The sequence below is a fragment of the Homo sapiens genome, chromosome 20 (genome assembly GCF_000001405.40).
Source record: "Homo sapiens chromosome 20, GRCh38.p14 Primary Assembly".
Lineage (NCBI taxonomy): Eukaryota > Metazoa > Chordata > Mammalia > Primates > Hominidae > Homo > Homo sapiens.
The window spans coordinates 35,573,297-35,589,029 of NC_000020.11; the positions used below are offsets into that span (position 1 = coordinate 35,573,297).

Below are 15,733 nucleotides of genomic sequence, written 5' to 3' on the forward strand. Positions count from 1 at the left end.
GAGGCTGAGGTGGGAGAATCACTTGAACCCAGGAGGTGGAGGTTGCAGTGAGCTGAGATTGTGCCATTGCAGTCCAGCCTGGGCAACAAGAGTAAGACTCCATCTCAAAACAACAACAAAAAAAGAAGGCAGGCTGGGCACGGTGGCTCACACCTGTAATCCCAGCACTTTGGGAGGCCCAGGCGGGCGGATCACCGGAGGTCGGGAGTTTGAGACCAGCCTGACCAACATGGAGAAACTCTGTCTCTACTAAAAATACAAAATTAGCAGGATATGGTGGCACATGCCTGCAGTCCCAGCTGCTTGGGAAGCTGAGGCAGGAGAATCCTTTGAACCTGGGAGGCAGAGGTTGCAGTGAGCCAAGACAGTGCCATTGCACTCCAACCTGGGCAACAAGAGCGAAACTCCGTCTCAAAAAAAAAAAAAAAAAAGAGCTAGAGAGAGAGAAAAGAAGAAAAAAGAAAGTCTGAATATCCAATACTATCATTACTTTTGTTGTTGTTGAGACAGAATCTTGCTCTTGTTGCCCAGGCTGGAGTGCAATGGCACAATCCTGGCTCACTGCAACCCCCACCTCCCAGGTTCAAGCAATTCTCCTGCCTCAGCCTCCCAAGTAGCTGGGATTACAGGTGCCTGACACCACACCCAGCTAATTTTTGTATTTTTAATAGAGACAGGGTTTCACCATGTTGGCCAGGCTGGTCTTGGACCCCTGGCCTCAGACTCCCAAAGTGCTGGGATTACAGGCGAAAGCCACTGTGCCCAGCCTCATTACTTATTCTGTTGCCCCAATTTTTCAAGTCTTAACCATTAGGAGCTCCTTCAGGTTGGCTCCTGTGTTCATTCTTTCATCAAGCCCCCATCCTTTTTTGAGCACTTCCTTACTCCTGCCCCACAAGATGCTCCAGATTTGACTTATATTTTCCCAGTCCTAGTCCTGGAATCAACTCCAAGGAGTCCTTAATCCTTTTATTAAATAATGGTTTTTAGAAACCAAAATCTGGGCACCTGGTTTGCTCACTGCTACTAGGATGTTGTTGATTCTAGGCCTTCTCAGCAAACGGAGATAGCAAACATGAATAACATAATCCACATATATATACACATATCTATATTTCTGTATCTTTCCATCTGTGTATATTTAAAAACATGAGTTTATACAGATACTTCTGTTTCTGATCTAATACCACAGCATTCATTTAATCCCCTTTCCTTATCTGTAACTTCTTTCTCCAACAGTAAGAAACCTGGTTCTCATTATCTACAATATAGTTTACTTATTCATGTATACCAGTATACACATAATATAGTTTCAGAATTGCTAACACATACTTCTAACTAGATGACAGCATTTATGTTCAGCTCTCTTTATCTTTAGTTTAGTTGGTTTTTTGTTTTGTTTTTGTTTTTTGTGACAAGCTCTCTCCCTGTCATCCAAGCTGGAGTGCAGTGGCACAAGCTTGGCTCACTGCAACCTCCTCCTCCCAGCTTCAAACAATGCTCCTGCCTCAGCCTCCAAAACAGCTGGGACTACAGGCACGTGCCACCATGCCCAGCTAATTTTTGTATTTTTAGTAGAGACGGGGTTCACCCTGTTAGCCAGGCTGGTCTCAAACTCCTGACCCTCAGGCGATCCACCCAATTTAGGCAATCCACCTGCCTCAGCCTCCTGAAGTGCTGGCATTACAGGCATGAGCCACCACACCCAGCCACATCCAGCTAGTTTTTTAATCTTTTGTAGAGATGGAGTCTCACTTTGTTGCCCAGGCTGGTCTTGACCTCCTGGGCTAAAGTGATCCTCCTGTCTTGGCCTCCCAAAGTGCTGGGATTACAGGTGTGAGCCACTGCACCAGGCCCATCTAGAGTTTTATAGAGCCCTGTCAAATTACTGTTTTCCAGAGTTACTTGGTTTTGTTCTTCACTTCCTTCAGTGTGGTTATATTGTTCATTTGTAATACAGTGAGGGTCATTTGTTAGTGTTTGTATTCCATGTTAGGTTTCCTCAACACTGTGATTGCTTTTAATTTTCTGTCTATTGTAGGGGCATGTGAAACACTGCTACAGTTCTAAGAGTCAGAGGTATACAAAAAGATCTACTTTGAGAAGTGTCATTTTTGTCCTCATTCTCGCAACCCTGACCCCTTTCCCCCTTTCGTTCCATCCCTTTGCCACTCACTTTCTTTTTTGTTTTTTTTTTTTGGAGACGGAGTCTCGCTCCGTCACCCAGGCTGGAGCGTGGTGGCGCAATCTTGGCTTACTGCAACCTCCGCCTCCTGGGTTCAAGTGATTCTCCTGCCTCAGCCTCCCGAGTAGCTGGGACTACAAGCATGAGCCACTATGCTCAGCTAATTTTTGTATTTTTAGTAGAGATGGGGTTTCACCATGTTGGTTGGCCAGAATGGTCTCGATCTCTTGACCTCGTGATCCACCCGCCTCGGCCTCCCAAAGTGCTGGGATTACAGGCGTGAGCCACCACAACCGGCTCCGAGATATCTTTAAGAATACTTCAAGGCCCTGCTGAACTCAGTATGAAAACTGCACCAATGGACAAAGTTGGACAAAGGTATTTGGTAACAAGCCTTCTGAAGCCTGAGATTCAGCCCTGTTCTCATCCTAGAATTATACGTGCCATTCTACAGGACTAGAACTACAAACAGGGGTCAGGAGACCAACTCCCAATTCTGGTTCTGCCATGAACATGCTTTATAACCCTAGGGGATCTCCTAAATTTGTGGATTCAATTTCTCACCTGAAAAATGAAGAACTTGAACTCTGTGATCACGAGGTTCCTCCCAAAGCCTTCCTTCTGTAGGTTTTGTGTACATTACCTTAGCTATAGTTGGAGGCGTGCCAGGGCTATGGAGACTCACCTTTACAACATACACTCTGACCAGGAGCTTGATGGGCCGGTTCTGTGGGATCCCCCGGGAGATCTGGGGCTCAGAGAACAACACTGCCTCTGATTCAGGGTAAATGAGGAAGGAGCCCTGAGTTGGGGGGAGACAGAAAAAGCTCTGGTAAGATAATTGTCCTCCTGAATCCCCACCTGGGCTCCCTGGTTCCGCTTTCCTTCCCCAAATGTACCTTGAACTTGCCCACAAGGTGTCCAGATCCTTCCTCTTCTCCACCTCCATCCTGGCCCCCTTGCCCTCGGTACAGAGGAAACACATTCAGCCAGTCTTCAAAGTGGTTAAATTCTTCCTTCAGGGACCTGTTGTAGATCTAAAAGGCAAGGACTTCAGCAACAGCCCGATGTCCAGAATCCAAAGGAGACTTTCCTCTTCCCAGTACCCAGTCACCTTCAGGGTGGCAACTGCTTTTTTTGGGGACACAGTGCCTTTGACTTCAGCCTCACCCTGGTCTTGGATCTCCCCAACCATAGAAATGAGGTTGACCCCATCTGGAAACAGCAAAAATGCCCCAGTCAGAAATATCTGGGTGGGTAGGGGATGGGCAGATGGAACCAGAGCAAAAAGCCCAATCTGTTACCTGAATCTCCAGGATCATCCATTTCATCTTCATCAAAGTTGTGCTGAAATTAAAGAGCAGATCCAGAGATTCTTCCCCATCCCCTTCAACCCCTTAGTCTACCCCCTTTTCCAGGAGAGTTGGGAAACCTTCACTCAAGTTCCCACTGTGTATGCCACTTGCATTTTTAAAGCTCCAATTTATCATCCAGCCTGCCCTGTCTAGGGCAGTCACCACCAGCCACACGTGGCTACTGAGCAGTCAAAACGTGGCTAGTCTGAATTGCAATGTGCTGTAAGTGGCCAGGCTTGGTGGCTCATGCCTGGAATCCCAACACTTTGGGAGACTGAGGTGACTACTTGAGGCCAGGAGTTCGAGATCAGGCTGAACAACACAGTGAGAACCTGTCTCTATGAAATAAATGCTTTTTAATTTTTATTTATTTATTTTTGAGACAGACTCTTGCTGTGTAGCCCAGGTTGGAGTGTATTGGTGTGAACATGGCTCACTGTAGCCTCAACCTCCGAGGCTCAAGTGATCCTCCCACCTCAACCTCTTGAGTCGCTGGGGCCACCGGCGTGTACCACCATGCACAGCTACTTGTTTTCATTTTTAGTAGAGATGGTGTCTCACCATGTTCCCCAGACTGTTCTCAAACTCCTGGCTTCGAGTGATCCTCCCACCTCAGACTCCCAAAGTGCTGGGATTACCGGCATGAAACACCACACCCAGGAAAAAAAAAGTTTGTAATTAGCTGAGTGTAGTGGTATGTACTTATGGTCCTAGCTACTGGGGAGGCTGAGGTGGGAAGATCACTTGAACCCAGGAGTTTGAGACCAGTCTGGATAACAGATAAAGACCCCATCTCTAAAAATAAAAAGAAAAGAAAGAAAAAGATGTGCGATAAGTATAAAATAAAAACCGGATTTTTAAATACTTAGTACAAAAAACAAGAATGTAAAATATCTCAGAAATTTTATGATTACTTGTTGAAGTTTTTTTTTTTTTTTTTTTTTTTTTTGAGAGACAGAGTTTCACTCTGTCACCCAGGCTGGAGCACAGTCTCGGCTCACTGTAACCTCCACCTCCCAGGTTCAAGCGATTCTCCTGCCTCAGCCTCCAGAATAGCTGGGATTAACAGGTGCCCAGCACCACGCCCGGCTAATTTTTGTATTTTTAGTAGAGACGGGGTTTCGCCATGTTGGCCAGGCTGGTCTCGAACTCCTGACCTCAAGTGATCTGCCTGCCTCAGCCTCCCAAAGTGCTGGGATTACAGGCATGAGCCACTGTGCCCAGCCTTGAAATGGTATTTTGAATATATTACTAAAATTAATTTCACCTGTTTCGTTTTACTTTTTTTTTTTTTTTTTTTTTTGAGAGGGAGTCTCGTTCTGTCGCCCAGGCTGGAGTGCAGTGGCGCAATCTCGGCTCACTGCAAGGTCCGCCTCCCAGGTTCACACCATTCTCCTGCCTCAGCCTCCTGAGTAGGTGGGACTACAGGCACCCGCCACCATGCCCCGCTAATATTTTTTGTATTTTTAGTAGAGACGGGGTTTCACCATGTTAGCCAGGATGGTCTCAATCTCCTGACCTCGTGATCCACCCGCCTTGGCCTCCCAAAGCGCTGGGATTACAGGCGTGAGCCACCGCGCCTGGCCCCTTCTACTTTAATGTGGCTACTACAAAAGTTAAAATTACGTATGTGGCTCGTGTTATGTCTTTTGGACAACACAGCTCTAGATAATGGAGTTAATAATCCCCAGCTTCTAGAATTGTGAAGAAAAGAGGACTATAATGAAGAGCTCTGAAAAACTGTAGAGCTCCACCTTCAATGAGATCATTCTTGTTTTTTGTTTGTTTTTTGAGACGGAGTCTCACTGTCACCCAGGCTGTTGTGCAATGGCATGATCTCAGCTCACAGGAGCCTCTGCCTCTGGGTTCAAGTGATTCTCCTGCGTCAGCCTCCTGAGTAGCTGGGACTACAGGTGCGCGCCGCCATGCCTAGCTAAGATATCATTCTTTTTACCATTTACACCCCAGCCCCCTCCCTGGGACCCTTCTCTGCCCCCACCTGCCCCTGGAGCTCCTGCAGCGACGCATAGTACTTGGACCCCCAGTCGAGCTCCTCTGGATCTGGGATGTCTTCCTCCAGCCCAGGGCCTTGATTTAGGAGGCCTCCTAGTGGGAGCTTCTTCAGAGGAGGCTGAGGAAGAGCAGACTTTGTCCCTCTAACCCAGCACCATCCCAAGTACTGCCAGCCCCTTCACCATCTATCTCCTCTACCCCATCACCTTCAGGAGCTGTCTGGATATACCCGCTTCAGCCAAGAAGGGATCCAGGGACTTCTGTCCTGGGAGGGGGAAAATGGCAGCATGAGGAGAGTGGGTAAGTAGAAGTCAGATTCCACACCCCATCGGAGGGCCCTCTGGAGCCACGTCCACCAGGAATCAGAGGGGCTTCTGTCTGGTGTCCCTGAAGGAGAAGGTTCCTAACCTTGAGGTCCCTTGGGCATCATATCCCCTGTCTCCTCCATCTCTCCTTCCTCCTCAGGAGGATCCTCATGACCCCGAAATGTGAATCGCAGCATGTGGGGGACAATGTGGGAACCCACAAGGACTGTGTGGCCAAAGGCCCGGCGCTCAATCACCAAGATGCTGAGTGGAGGCTGCAAGTAAGGCTGCTCCGGCAAGTCCTGGGGGTGGAAGAGAGGAGCTGTGTCTTTGAAGACCTGGGGAACAGGGAAAGGTAGCCACAGAGACAGGTAGGAAAAAAAATACATCTAAACCTGCATTCTAAGCCCAGCTCTGCCATAGCCTCACTGTGTAATCTCTGGTAAACCATTGCCTTCTCATCCTGTTTCCTAGCTAAAAAAGGGACACAGGCCGGGCGCAGTGTCTCATGCCTGTAATCCCAGCACTTGGAGAGGCCAAGGTGGGCAGATCACAAGTTCAGGAGTTCGAGACCAGCCTGGCCAACGTAGTGAAACCCCATATCTACTAAAAATACAAAAATTAGCTGGGCGTGGTGGTGAGCACCTGTAATCTCAGCTACTCGGGAGACTGAGGCAGGAGAATCGCTTGAAAACAGAAGGTGGAGGTTGCAGTGAGCCAAGGTCACACCACTGTACTGCAGTCTGGGCAACAACAGCAAAACTCCATCTCAAAAAAAAAAAAAAAAAAAAAGGGACACAATCCTGGATTCAAAAGACTGTTGTAAATATCAAATGACATAATAGAAACATAAGTACTTTGGAGCCTACAAAGTGCTGTCAGAAGCTGGGCATGGTGGCTCATGCCTGTAACCCCAGCACTTTGGGAGGCTGAGGCAGGCAGACTGCTCAAACTCAGGAGTTCGAGACCAGCCTGGGCAACATGGCAAGACACCATCTGTACCAAAAATACAAAAAAATAGCCGGGCATAGTGGTGCGCACCTGTGGTCCCAGCTACTCAGGAGGTTGAGGTGGGAGGATCACTTGAGCCCAGGGGGCGGAGGTTACAGTGAGCCAAGATTTGCACTCCAGCCTTGGTGACAGAGCAAGAGACCCTGTCTAAAATATATATGTGTATATACACACACACACACACAAATATATTTTTTGGCTGGGCATGGTGGCTGACACCTGTAATCCCAGCACTTTGGGAGGCCAAGGCAGGCAGATCACTTGAGGTCAGGAGTTTGAGACCAGCCTGGCCAAGATGATGAAATCCTGTCTCTACTAAAAATACAAAAAAATTAGCTGGGTGTGGTAACGGGTGGCTGTAATCCCAGCTACTTGGGAAGCTGAGGCAGAAGAATAGCTTGAACCTGGGAGGCACAGGTTGCAGTGAGCCGAGATCGCGCCACTGCAGCCTAGGCAGCAGAGTGAGACTCTGTCTTAAAATATATATTATGGTTTATTTTATTTTATGGTTAAAGGCCATATATATATATATATAAAATATATATATATAAAATATATATAAAATATATATATATAAAATATATATATAATATATATATATAAAATATATATATATAATATATATATATAAAATATATATATATAAAATATATATATATATAAAATATATATATATATAAAATATATATATGGAATTCCATATCTATCAATGGATCCTAAGGGAAACAATTTTACTACTGTATTGGTGGGTTTATTTTATGTATTTGTAGATATATACATATATACACATATATATGACAATTTTAGCACAAAAGAGAGGAAAAATAGAGCTATACCACAGAAAAGTTTGTATATTTTACTGGAATTAAATTAGTATTAATCTGAAGTAGACTGTGAAACAGTAGTATGTATATTGTAATCCCTAGAGCAACTACTAAGTAAAAATCAGCAAATTAAAATAGTACACTAATAAATATCAAAATATAATAAATATCTATTTAACACAAAAGAAAGCAGTAAAAGAGGAATAATAAGTCCACAAGACATAGAAAACAGACAGCAAAATGGCAGATGTAAATTCAGCCAATAATATCAACAGCATCAAATGTGATCATATTAAATACCAATCAAAAGTCAGAGATTGTTAACTGCATTAAAAAAAAGAGATGCGACTCCATGCTGTCTAAGAGATACTCTAGATTCAAAGACACATAAAGGATGAAGTATAGGAAAAAAATATATCATGCAAATAGTAACCACAGAGAGCTGGAGTAGTTATACCACCAGAGAAAATAGACTTTAATACAAAAAATATTACTAGAGACAAACAGATACTTTATAATGGTAAACAGGTCAATTCATCTAGAAGATATAACAATTATAAACATATATGCACCTAACAACAGAGCCTCAAAATACAAAAACTAAAAAGTTATAGAATTAAAGAGAGAGATACACAATTCATTAGTAATAGCTGGAGATTTCAATACCCTATTCTCAATAATGGATAGACAGAAAATAATCAAAGAGGCTTGTTCAAGAGGTCTGAATAACAGTAACACCTAGAGAGCACCACAAGTCCATGAATTAATCCAGGAATCAGCAAACTACAGCCCATAGACAGAGTCTGGCCTGCTGTCAGTTTTTGTAAATATTCATTTACATATTATCTATGGCTGTTTTCATGCTACGATGGCAGAGTTGAGTAGTTGCAACAGACTGGATGGCTCTCAAAGCCTAAAATATTTACTATTTGGCCCATTATAGAGAGTTTGCTGACCCTTGGATCATCTAAGATAACCAGGTAGAAAGTCACCATCCACTGCCCTCTTTCACTATTCTGCCCCCCTTTTCCCCTAGCCCGTGGCCTCACCACTGTCAGATGCCTGACAAGCTCAGTGAAATTGGGGCTCTCACGGTAGCTGGCCAGGACCTCAGACTCCACACCTTGCCCAGCCACCTCCAGTACAACCTGGGGCTGCTCCACCTCGAGCAGATGCACACGACCAAGTCCCCTAAGACCCCAGAACAGCACCTGGGGTCAGAAAATGGGAGATTCAGGGGCCTGCACCAGACAAATGGGCACCCGGATGTTGGGGAACAAGGGGGCTTTGAGTGCCTGGTGATACCTCAACACGGAACTCCCTGAGCACTGGGCACACGTTGGGTGGAAGGGACAGGCGTCCAGAGTGGGGCTCAACCAGGGGTGCCAGATCCTGGGGCTCCACCTCACTGGGCACTGAGGGCTGTAGGAGGGAAACAGTCAGAGGGCGAAGAGGAATCAGGCCAAAGGAGGAAAAGCCTAGGTGTGGGGAGGGGATATGGAGAGGTACTGGTGAAATGTAAATGCACAGGAACCAACCAAGGCTGGATTGGTGGAAGGGAGGGGGTCTCGGGAAGCAGCTTCGTGCAGGAAGGGAGCAGGGTGTCTGAGGCATGCAGGATGGCCCAACAAGGTGAACCTAGCACATGAATACTTGCAATGTTCCTTGGGGTCAAGTGGTCCAATGAGGTGACCTCAGGACAAACCTGCAGTCTTTATTCTCTGGGGAAAAGAGACCTGGAGGCTGGTCCTGGGACATATCCATGTTTTATATTCCCTAGGGCTGGATGGCCTGATGGACTAACAAGTTGGGCTCACAGCCTGTGCTAGCCACGCCAGGGCATGCTGACCTCAAGTCGGCCACTGTAGTCTAGTTCAATGAGTTGAAAGGCGGCAATGAGCTCTCCGGCTGCCCAGGGTCCCTTCCTCAGGGGGAAGAACTGCAACTCTGGGCGTTGGTATGGGTCCTCCATCAGCTTTACCCTTGGGGCGGCCAGTGCCCTGCCCAGGAACACGGGGGGGCCCTAGGGGGAGCAGGGCAGTGAAGACAAAGGGGAAGAGGCTCAGGAGCCAGGGAAGGTGGGCATCAAGGGGGAAACTCCTGGCCAGGAACCCAGGGAGGGCCCAGGCCACACTCACAAACTTATTGTGGTCAAATACATTGATGATCACTAATGGAGGCTCCTCCTGCAGGTGCTCCCTCCTCCCATCCACGATCAACTGCTCAAATACCAGGAGTTCATCCCACAGAGGGCTCAGCGTCTGCTCCAGGACCTTGGGGGCCATACAGAGAAGCGGGTAGCAGCAGATATCAGGAGAAGGCTCCCAACATGCATGCCATGCGAACACCCCTGCTCTGAAGGAATACTTTAAGTAAATGCTCATCACAAGAAGAGTGAGATGTGAGGAAGACGAAAGCATCTTCAGTTGGTGTTGCAGCCAGCCCCTCACAGCCCTGCCTCCCCATTGCAATTGGCCCCTCAGAGTCCAGGCCTAAAGTCAACCCCAGAAAATGACTCCTCGCCGCTAAGACCTCCAGTTCTACATCACCTGCTAAGTTAGGGCCATCTAGTACCCCATCCTGATACCCTGCTCTGCAAACCCAGAGTGCGAGGAGAGGGGCCTTGGGGAAAAGCTCAGACCCACCCTAACTTGTCTCCTGGGTCCCTTCCACCCACATGTCATCCCAGCCCTCACCCGTGTGGTCTGACACTGGGTAGAGATGAGGACTCGAGCAAAGGGGTCCGAGAGGCCACTGTCATCTGCAGCCAACACACCCCGGGCCTGGTACAAGTGAGCCCGGAGTTGGAAGTAGCTAAAGTCTGGGGTGAGGGGCAAGGAAGGTGTCATGTTTGCCCAGGGGAACCACTGAAGTCCCCTGACTGAGCCCCACACCTTGGGCAGAGAGCCAGGTGGGCCTTATACCTGCCCTGCCCACCCTCTGCACTCACCGTCCCGGTGTAGGCTGGAGGGCAGCCCGGCTGAGGGCTCGGGCAGCAAATCCGGGGGCAGCTCAGAGGTGCAGGCCTTGGCTTGCTTGCCCAGGCCCAGCCGCAGGAAGAGCTCCAGCTTGGCACAGACCTCACCAGGGGCTGCCCCGGGTGCCTGTGTGTGAAGAAGGCATGTCAGGGCCCCGATGCCTCTTCTCATGACCCCAGCTAGACCTAGCAATCCTGCTTCCCCAGGGCACACCTCTACTGCACATCGCCACACCATGCCAAACTCCCAGTCCACTCCCTACCTGCCCAGCCTTACCCTCTTCCTACCCTCCACCCTACGCCATGACCCTCACACTCTTACTCCCTATACCTCTTGCCCTAACACTGCCACTTCCCGTACCCCACTCCCCAGACCCCTAACTACACTCTGAGCTCTGCTCTCCCACCTTTGTCCCCTCCACCCCCTACACGTTTACATTCCCCATCCCCAACCCCAAGGGTCACGGCTTCTCCCTCCTAGGGACCCTTTTCAGTTATCTTTTCCAGGGACACCTCATTTAGAAATCTTTGGCCCACAAACCAGCTACACTTTTTTTTTTTTTTTTTTTTTTTTTTAAGATGGAGTCTCCCTCTGTTGCCAGTCTGGAGTGCAGTGGCGTGATCTCTGCTCACTGCAAACTCTACCTCCTGTGTTCAAGAGATTCTCCTGCCTCAGCCTCCCTAGTCGCTGGAATTACAGGTATACACCACCACACCTGGCTAATTTTTGTATTTTTAGTAGAGACGGGGTTTCACCATGTTGGCCAGGCTGCTCTCCAACTCCTGACCTCAGGTGATCCGCGTGCCTCAGCCTCCCCAAGTGCTGGGATTACAGGCATGAGCCACCACTCCCGGCCAGACCAGCCACACTTGTAAGGGGTGAGTCACACTCTCTCGTTTTTGGTACCCTGCCTATCTGTCAGGGCCTAGTCAGCAAAATGGCCCATGCAGTCCCAGAGCTAGGGAAGATTTGGGGTTTATCTGATTTCAAAGCTGCCCCAGGCAAAGGCACAATCCCTTTCTGGTGTTTTGGACAATTGGAAAGTGTTCAGGGGCCCCTAGCTGGGAAGCACAGGCCTCTACCCAAGGCCTATCCTACCCTTGCCCTATAAGCTCCACTCCACTTCTCCCGGCCCCTCACCCGTGGGTCCCCTCACCGTGAGCATTAGACTCTGGATCTTCCCACAGTCTCGGCCCCGTTCCTCCTCAACCACAGAGAACAGCACATCCTGGGCAGGGATCCGGGCCCAGGCCACACGGCGCTGCCCGCTGAGCATCCAGACCAGCACATCGGGGAGGGGTGGCTGGGGCTGCGGGTGGATAACTGGTCACGGAGGTGGATCTGGAGCCGACCTCTCCTGCTCTCACAGCTTGAACTGAACGGACCAAATAGCCACTCCAGCTTCTATCTCCCCGAGACAGGGTCTCACTCTGTCGCCCAGGCATGAGTGCAGTGACACTATCATGGCTCACTGCAGCTTGACCACCCAGGTTCAAGCATTCCTCCCACCTCAGCCTCTCAAGGAGCTAGGACTACAGGCACGTGTCACCATGCCTGGCTAATTTTTTACTTTTTGTAGAGATGGGGTTTGGCCACGTTGCGCAGGCTGGTCTCGAACTCCTGGGCTTAAGAGATCCTCCTGCCTTGGCCTCCCAAAGTGCTGGGATCACAGGCATGAGCTACCACACTTGGCTTCTTTTTTTTAATTGTGGAAAAATACTTATAAAATTGACCATCATCCTAACCATTTTTAAATGTACGGTTCAGGGGCATGAAATATATTCACAATGCCAGGCACGGTGGCTCACGCCTGTAATCCCAGCACTTTTGGAGGCTGAGGTGGGCGGATCATGAGGTCAGGAGATCGAGACCATCCTGGCTAACATGGTGAAACCCCCTCTCTACTAAAAATACAAAAAATTAGCCTGGCGTGGTGGCGGACGCCTGTAGTCCCAGCTACTTGGGAGGCTGAGGCAGGAGAATGGCATGACCCGGGAGGCGGAGCTTGCAGTGAGCCGAGATCGCTCCACTGCACTCCAGACTGGGTGACAGAGAAAGACTCCGTCTCAAAAAAAAAAAAAGGAAAGAAAAAAAAAAGAAATATATTCACGTTATTATGCAACCATCCCCATCATTCATCCCCAGAACATTTTTCATCTTGCAGAACAGAAACTCTGCTCATTAAACCATACCTCTCCATTCACTGCTCTCCATCCCAGCCCCTGGCAGCCACCATTCTTCTTTCTGTGTTTGGATTTGACTACAACAAGCCCTCCATATGAGTGGAATCATATAGTGCGTGCCCTTGTGCCTGGCCCAGTTCACTAGGCATAATGTCCTCAAGGCTCATGCACGTGGTAGCTGGTGCCAACCTTGTCTCTTCACCTTTCCCTCCTCCCCAGTCTTATCTTCCCCAATGTGCACAGTGTGCACATGTGGTGCCCATCACATCAGCCAAATACCTGGGCTGGTGACACTCTTCTCCAACATCCAATCACCCATTCCTGGCAGTTTCCCCCTTCTCTCCCTTTCTCCCTGCCCCACTTCAAGACCATCTGCTTTTTTTTTCTGTTGCCGAGGCTGGAATGCAGTGGCACAATCATAGCTTACTGCAGGCTCAACATCCTGGGCCCAAGTGATCCTCCCACCTCAGCCTCCTGAGTCTCTGGGGACTATAGGCACACACCACCATGCCTTGCGATGTTTTCATTTTTAAATTTTTTTGTAGAGATAGGGTCTCACTATGTTGTCCAGGCTGGTCTCAAACTACTGGACTTAAGCAATCCTCCCACCTCAGCCTCCCAAAGTGGTGGGATTACAGGTGCGAGCCACCATGCCCAGCCAAAAGACCACCCACTCTTGGCTAGACAATTGTGACAGGCTCCTAAGCAGTCTTCCTGCCTTGAGTCCTCCCTTCCTACCCACTCTGCCATGGCTGGCTGGCTTCTCCCCATCCTCTGGGTGTCAGCTGCAATGTTGTCTTTGCAGATAAGACTTGCCTGACCACCTTACCCAAGCAGGTTCTCCTCCACCCCCTCAGCCTCTGTAACCTCTTTCTTACCAATTCCTATAGATCATAATTATTTTTCATATTCATTTACAGATGTATAGTCTGTCTTCCTAGGACATTAGCCTCAAAAGGGCAAGGAATATGGCAGGGGCTGACCCCCAGGGCCTAATACAGAGCCTGGCACACAGGAGGACTTGAAATATCATTGAGAGGCCAGGCGTGGTGGCTGAGGCTGGGCATAGTGGCTCATGCCTGTAATCTCAGCACTTTGGGAGGCTGAGGCGGGTGGATCACCTGAGATCAGGAGTTTGAGACCAGCCTGGCCAACATGGTGAACCCCATCTTTACTAAAAATACAGAAGAGTAGGCAGGCAAGGTGGCACGCGCCTGTAATCCCAGCTACTTGGGAGGCTGAGGCAGGGGAATCACTTGAACTCAGGAGGCGAAAGTTGTAGTGAGTTGAGATCACACCATTGCATTCCAGCCCAGGCAGCAAGGGCAAAACTCCATCTCAAAACAAAAAAAAACAAAAAAAAAACCAAGAATATTCATAGCAGCTTTATTCATACTAGCTAAAAACATGAAACAGCACAGCTGTCCATCAATATGAGAATGAATAAACAAACTGTGATATATTTATACAATGGGAAATTGCTCAACAATAAAAAGAAAGAAACTAGATATCTGCAACAACTTGGACGCATCTTACAACAGCCTCTCACAAGAGAATACAGTCCTTCCTCATTATTTGTGAATTCTGTATTTGCAAATTTGCGTACTAGCTAAAATTTGTAACCCCCAAATCAATACCCCTGGTGCTTTTGTAATCACATGAGTATGGGCAAAGAGTCAAAAACTTTGAACAGGTCAGGCATGGTGGCTCGTACCTGTAACCCCAGCACTTTGGGAGGCCAAGGTGGGAGGATCACTTGAGCTTAGGGGTCCAAGAGCAGCCTGGGCGACAAAGTGAGACCTCATCTTTATTAAAAAAAAAAAAATTAAAAAAAATTTTTTTTGAGACTAAGTCTCGCTCTGTCACCCAGGCTGGAGTGCAATGGTGCAATCTCGGCTCACTGCAACCTCTGCCTCCTAGGTTCAAGCAATTCTCCTGCCTCAGCCTCCTGAGTAGCTGGGACTATAGGCATGTGCCACTATGCCCAACTAATTTTTGTATTTTTAGTAGAGATGGGGTTTCACCATGCTGGCCAGGCTGGTCTCAAACTCCTCACCTCGGGTGATCCTCCTGCCTCAGCCTCCCAAAGTGCTGGGATTACAGGCATGAGCTACCGCACCCATCCTCTACTAAAAATTTTTAACCCTTCTTTGGTTGAAGCCGCAGAAACAAGATGACAAAGGAAACGTCATCGTTTGGAAAGCATCGCGATAAGACACACACTTTGTGCCGCCACTGTGGCTCTATGGCCTGCCAACTTCAGAAGTCGACCTGTGGCAAACGTGGCTACCCCGCCAAGCACTAGAGGAAGTATAACTGGCTAAAAGACAAAATACCACTGGGACTGATCGAATGAGGCACCTAAAAATTGTATACTGCAGATTCAGGCATGGATTCTGTGAAGGAACAACACCTAAACCCAAGAGGGTACCTGTTGCAGCATCCAGTTCATCTTAAGAATTTCAACAATTGGCCGGGTGCGGTGGCTCATGCCTGTAATCCTAGCACTTTAGGAGCCCGAGGTGAGTGGATCACGAGGTCAGGAGTTCGAGAATAGCTTGATCAACATGGTAAAACCCCGTCTCTACTAAAAATACAAAAATAAGCCGGGCGTGGTGGCGCTCGCCTGTAATCCCAGCTACTCAGGTGGCTGAGGCAGGAGAATCACTTGAACCTGGGAGGCGGAGGTTAGAGTGAGCCGAGATCGAGCCACTACACTCCAGCCTGGGCGACAGAGCAAGACTCTGTCTCAAAAAAAAAAAAAAAGAAAAGAAAAAAAAAAAATTCAACGAGTCATGCAAAAAGTGTTCTGGTTTATTAAAATACAAAAAGAAATTTTTTAACCTATTTCCTGTTTGCCTTGAGAATACTCTTGCCTG

General features: G+C 48.2%; 2 pseudogenes across 1 annotated transcript in view, besides 2 other annotated features; one reads left to right on the forward strand and one right to left on the reverse strand.

Moving 5' to 3' along the window:
* FER1L4 (fer-1 like family member 4 (pseudogene)) overlaps positions 1-15,733 on the reverse strand; it is a 48,826-nt pseudogene that overhangs the window by 14,560 nt on the left and 18,533 nt on the right. The window contains exons 22-35 of the transcript NR_119376.1: positions 11,828-11,980; positions 10,644-10,797; positions 10,390-10,514; positions 9,832-9,966; positions 9,543-9,716; positions 8,999-9,115; positions 8,743-8,904; positions 5,962-6,160; positions 5,760-5,818; positions 5,540-5,671; positions 3,490-3,532; positions 3,356-3,400; positions 3,085-3,222; positions 2,871-2,987 (exon numbers count right to left, since the gene is read on the reverse strand). The product of NR_119376.1 is annotated as a fer-1 like family member 4 (pseudogene) (transcript). The remainder of the gene's footprint in view (positions 1-2,870; positions 2,988-3,084; positions 3,223-3,355; positions 3,401-3,489; positions 3,533-5,539; positions 5,672-5,759; positions 5,819-5,961; positions 6,161-8,742; positions 8,905-8,998; positions 9,116-9,542; positions 9,717-9,831; positions 9,967-10,389; positions 10,515-10,643; positions 10,798-11,827; positions 11,981-15,733) is intronic.
* Positions 3,710-3,872: a silencer, noted in NCBI's record as "fragment chr20:34164928-34165090 (GRCh37/hg19 assembly coordinates)". NCBI's record gives its function as "represses an EF-1alpha promoter that drives an FKBP-Casp9 reporter gene in an ReSE screen in phorbol 12-myristate 13-acetate-treated (for megakaryocytic differentiation) K562 erythroleukemia cells {active_cell/tissue: K562(+PMA)}" and the evidence as "EXISTENCE:reporter gene assay evidence [ECO:0000049][PMID:32094911]".
* Positions 15,002-15,327, forward strand: RPL37P1 (ribosomal protein L37 pseudogene 1; annotated as a pseudogene).
* Positions 15,171-15,671: an enhancer, noted in NCBI's record as "H3K27ac hESC enhancer chr20:34176389-34176889 (GRCh37/hg19 assembly coordinates)". NCBI's record gives its function as "activates a minimal SCP1, AML or CMV promoter by ChIP-STARR-seq in naive H9 embryonic stem cells {active_cell/tissue: H9 hESC(naive)}" and the evidence as "EXISTENCE:reporter gene assay evidence [ECO:0000049][PMID:30033119]".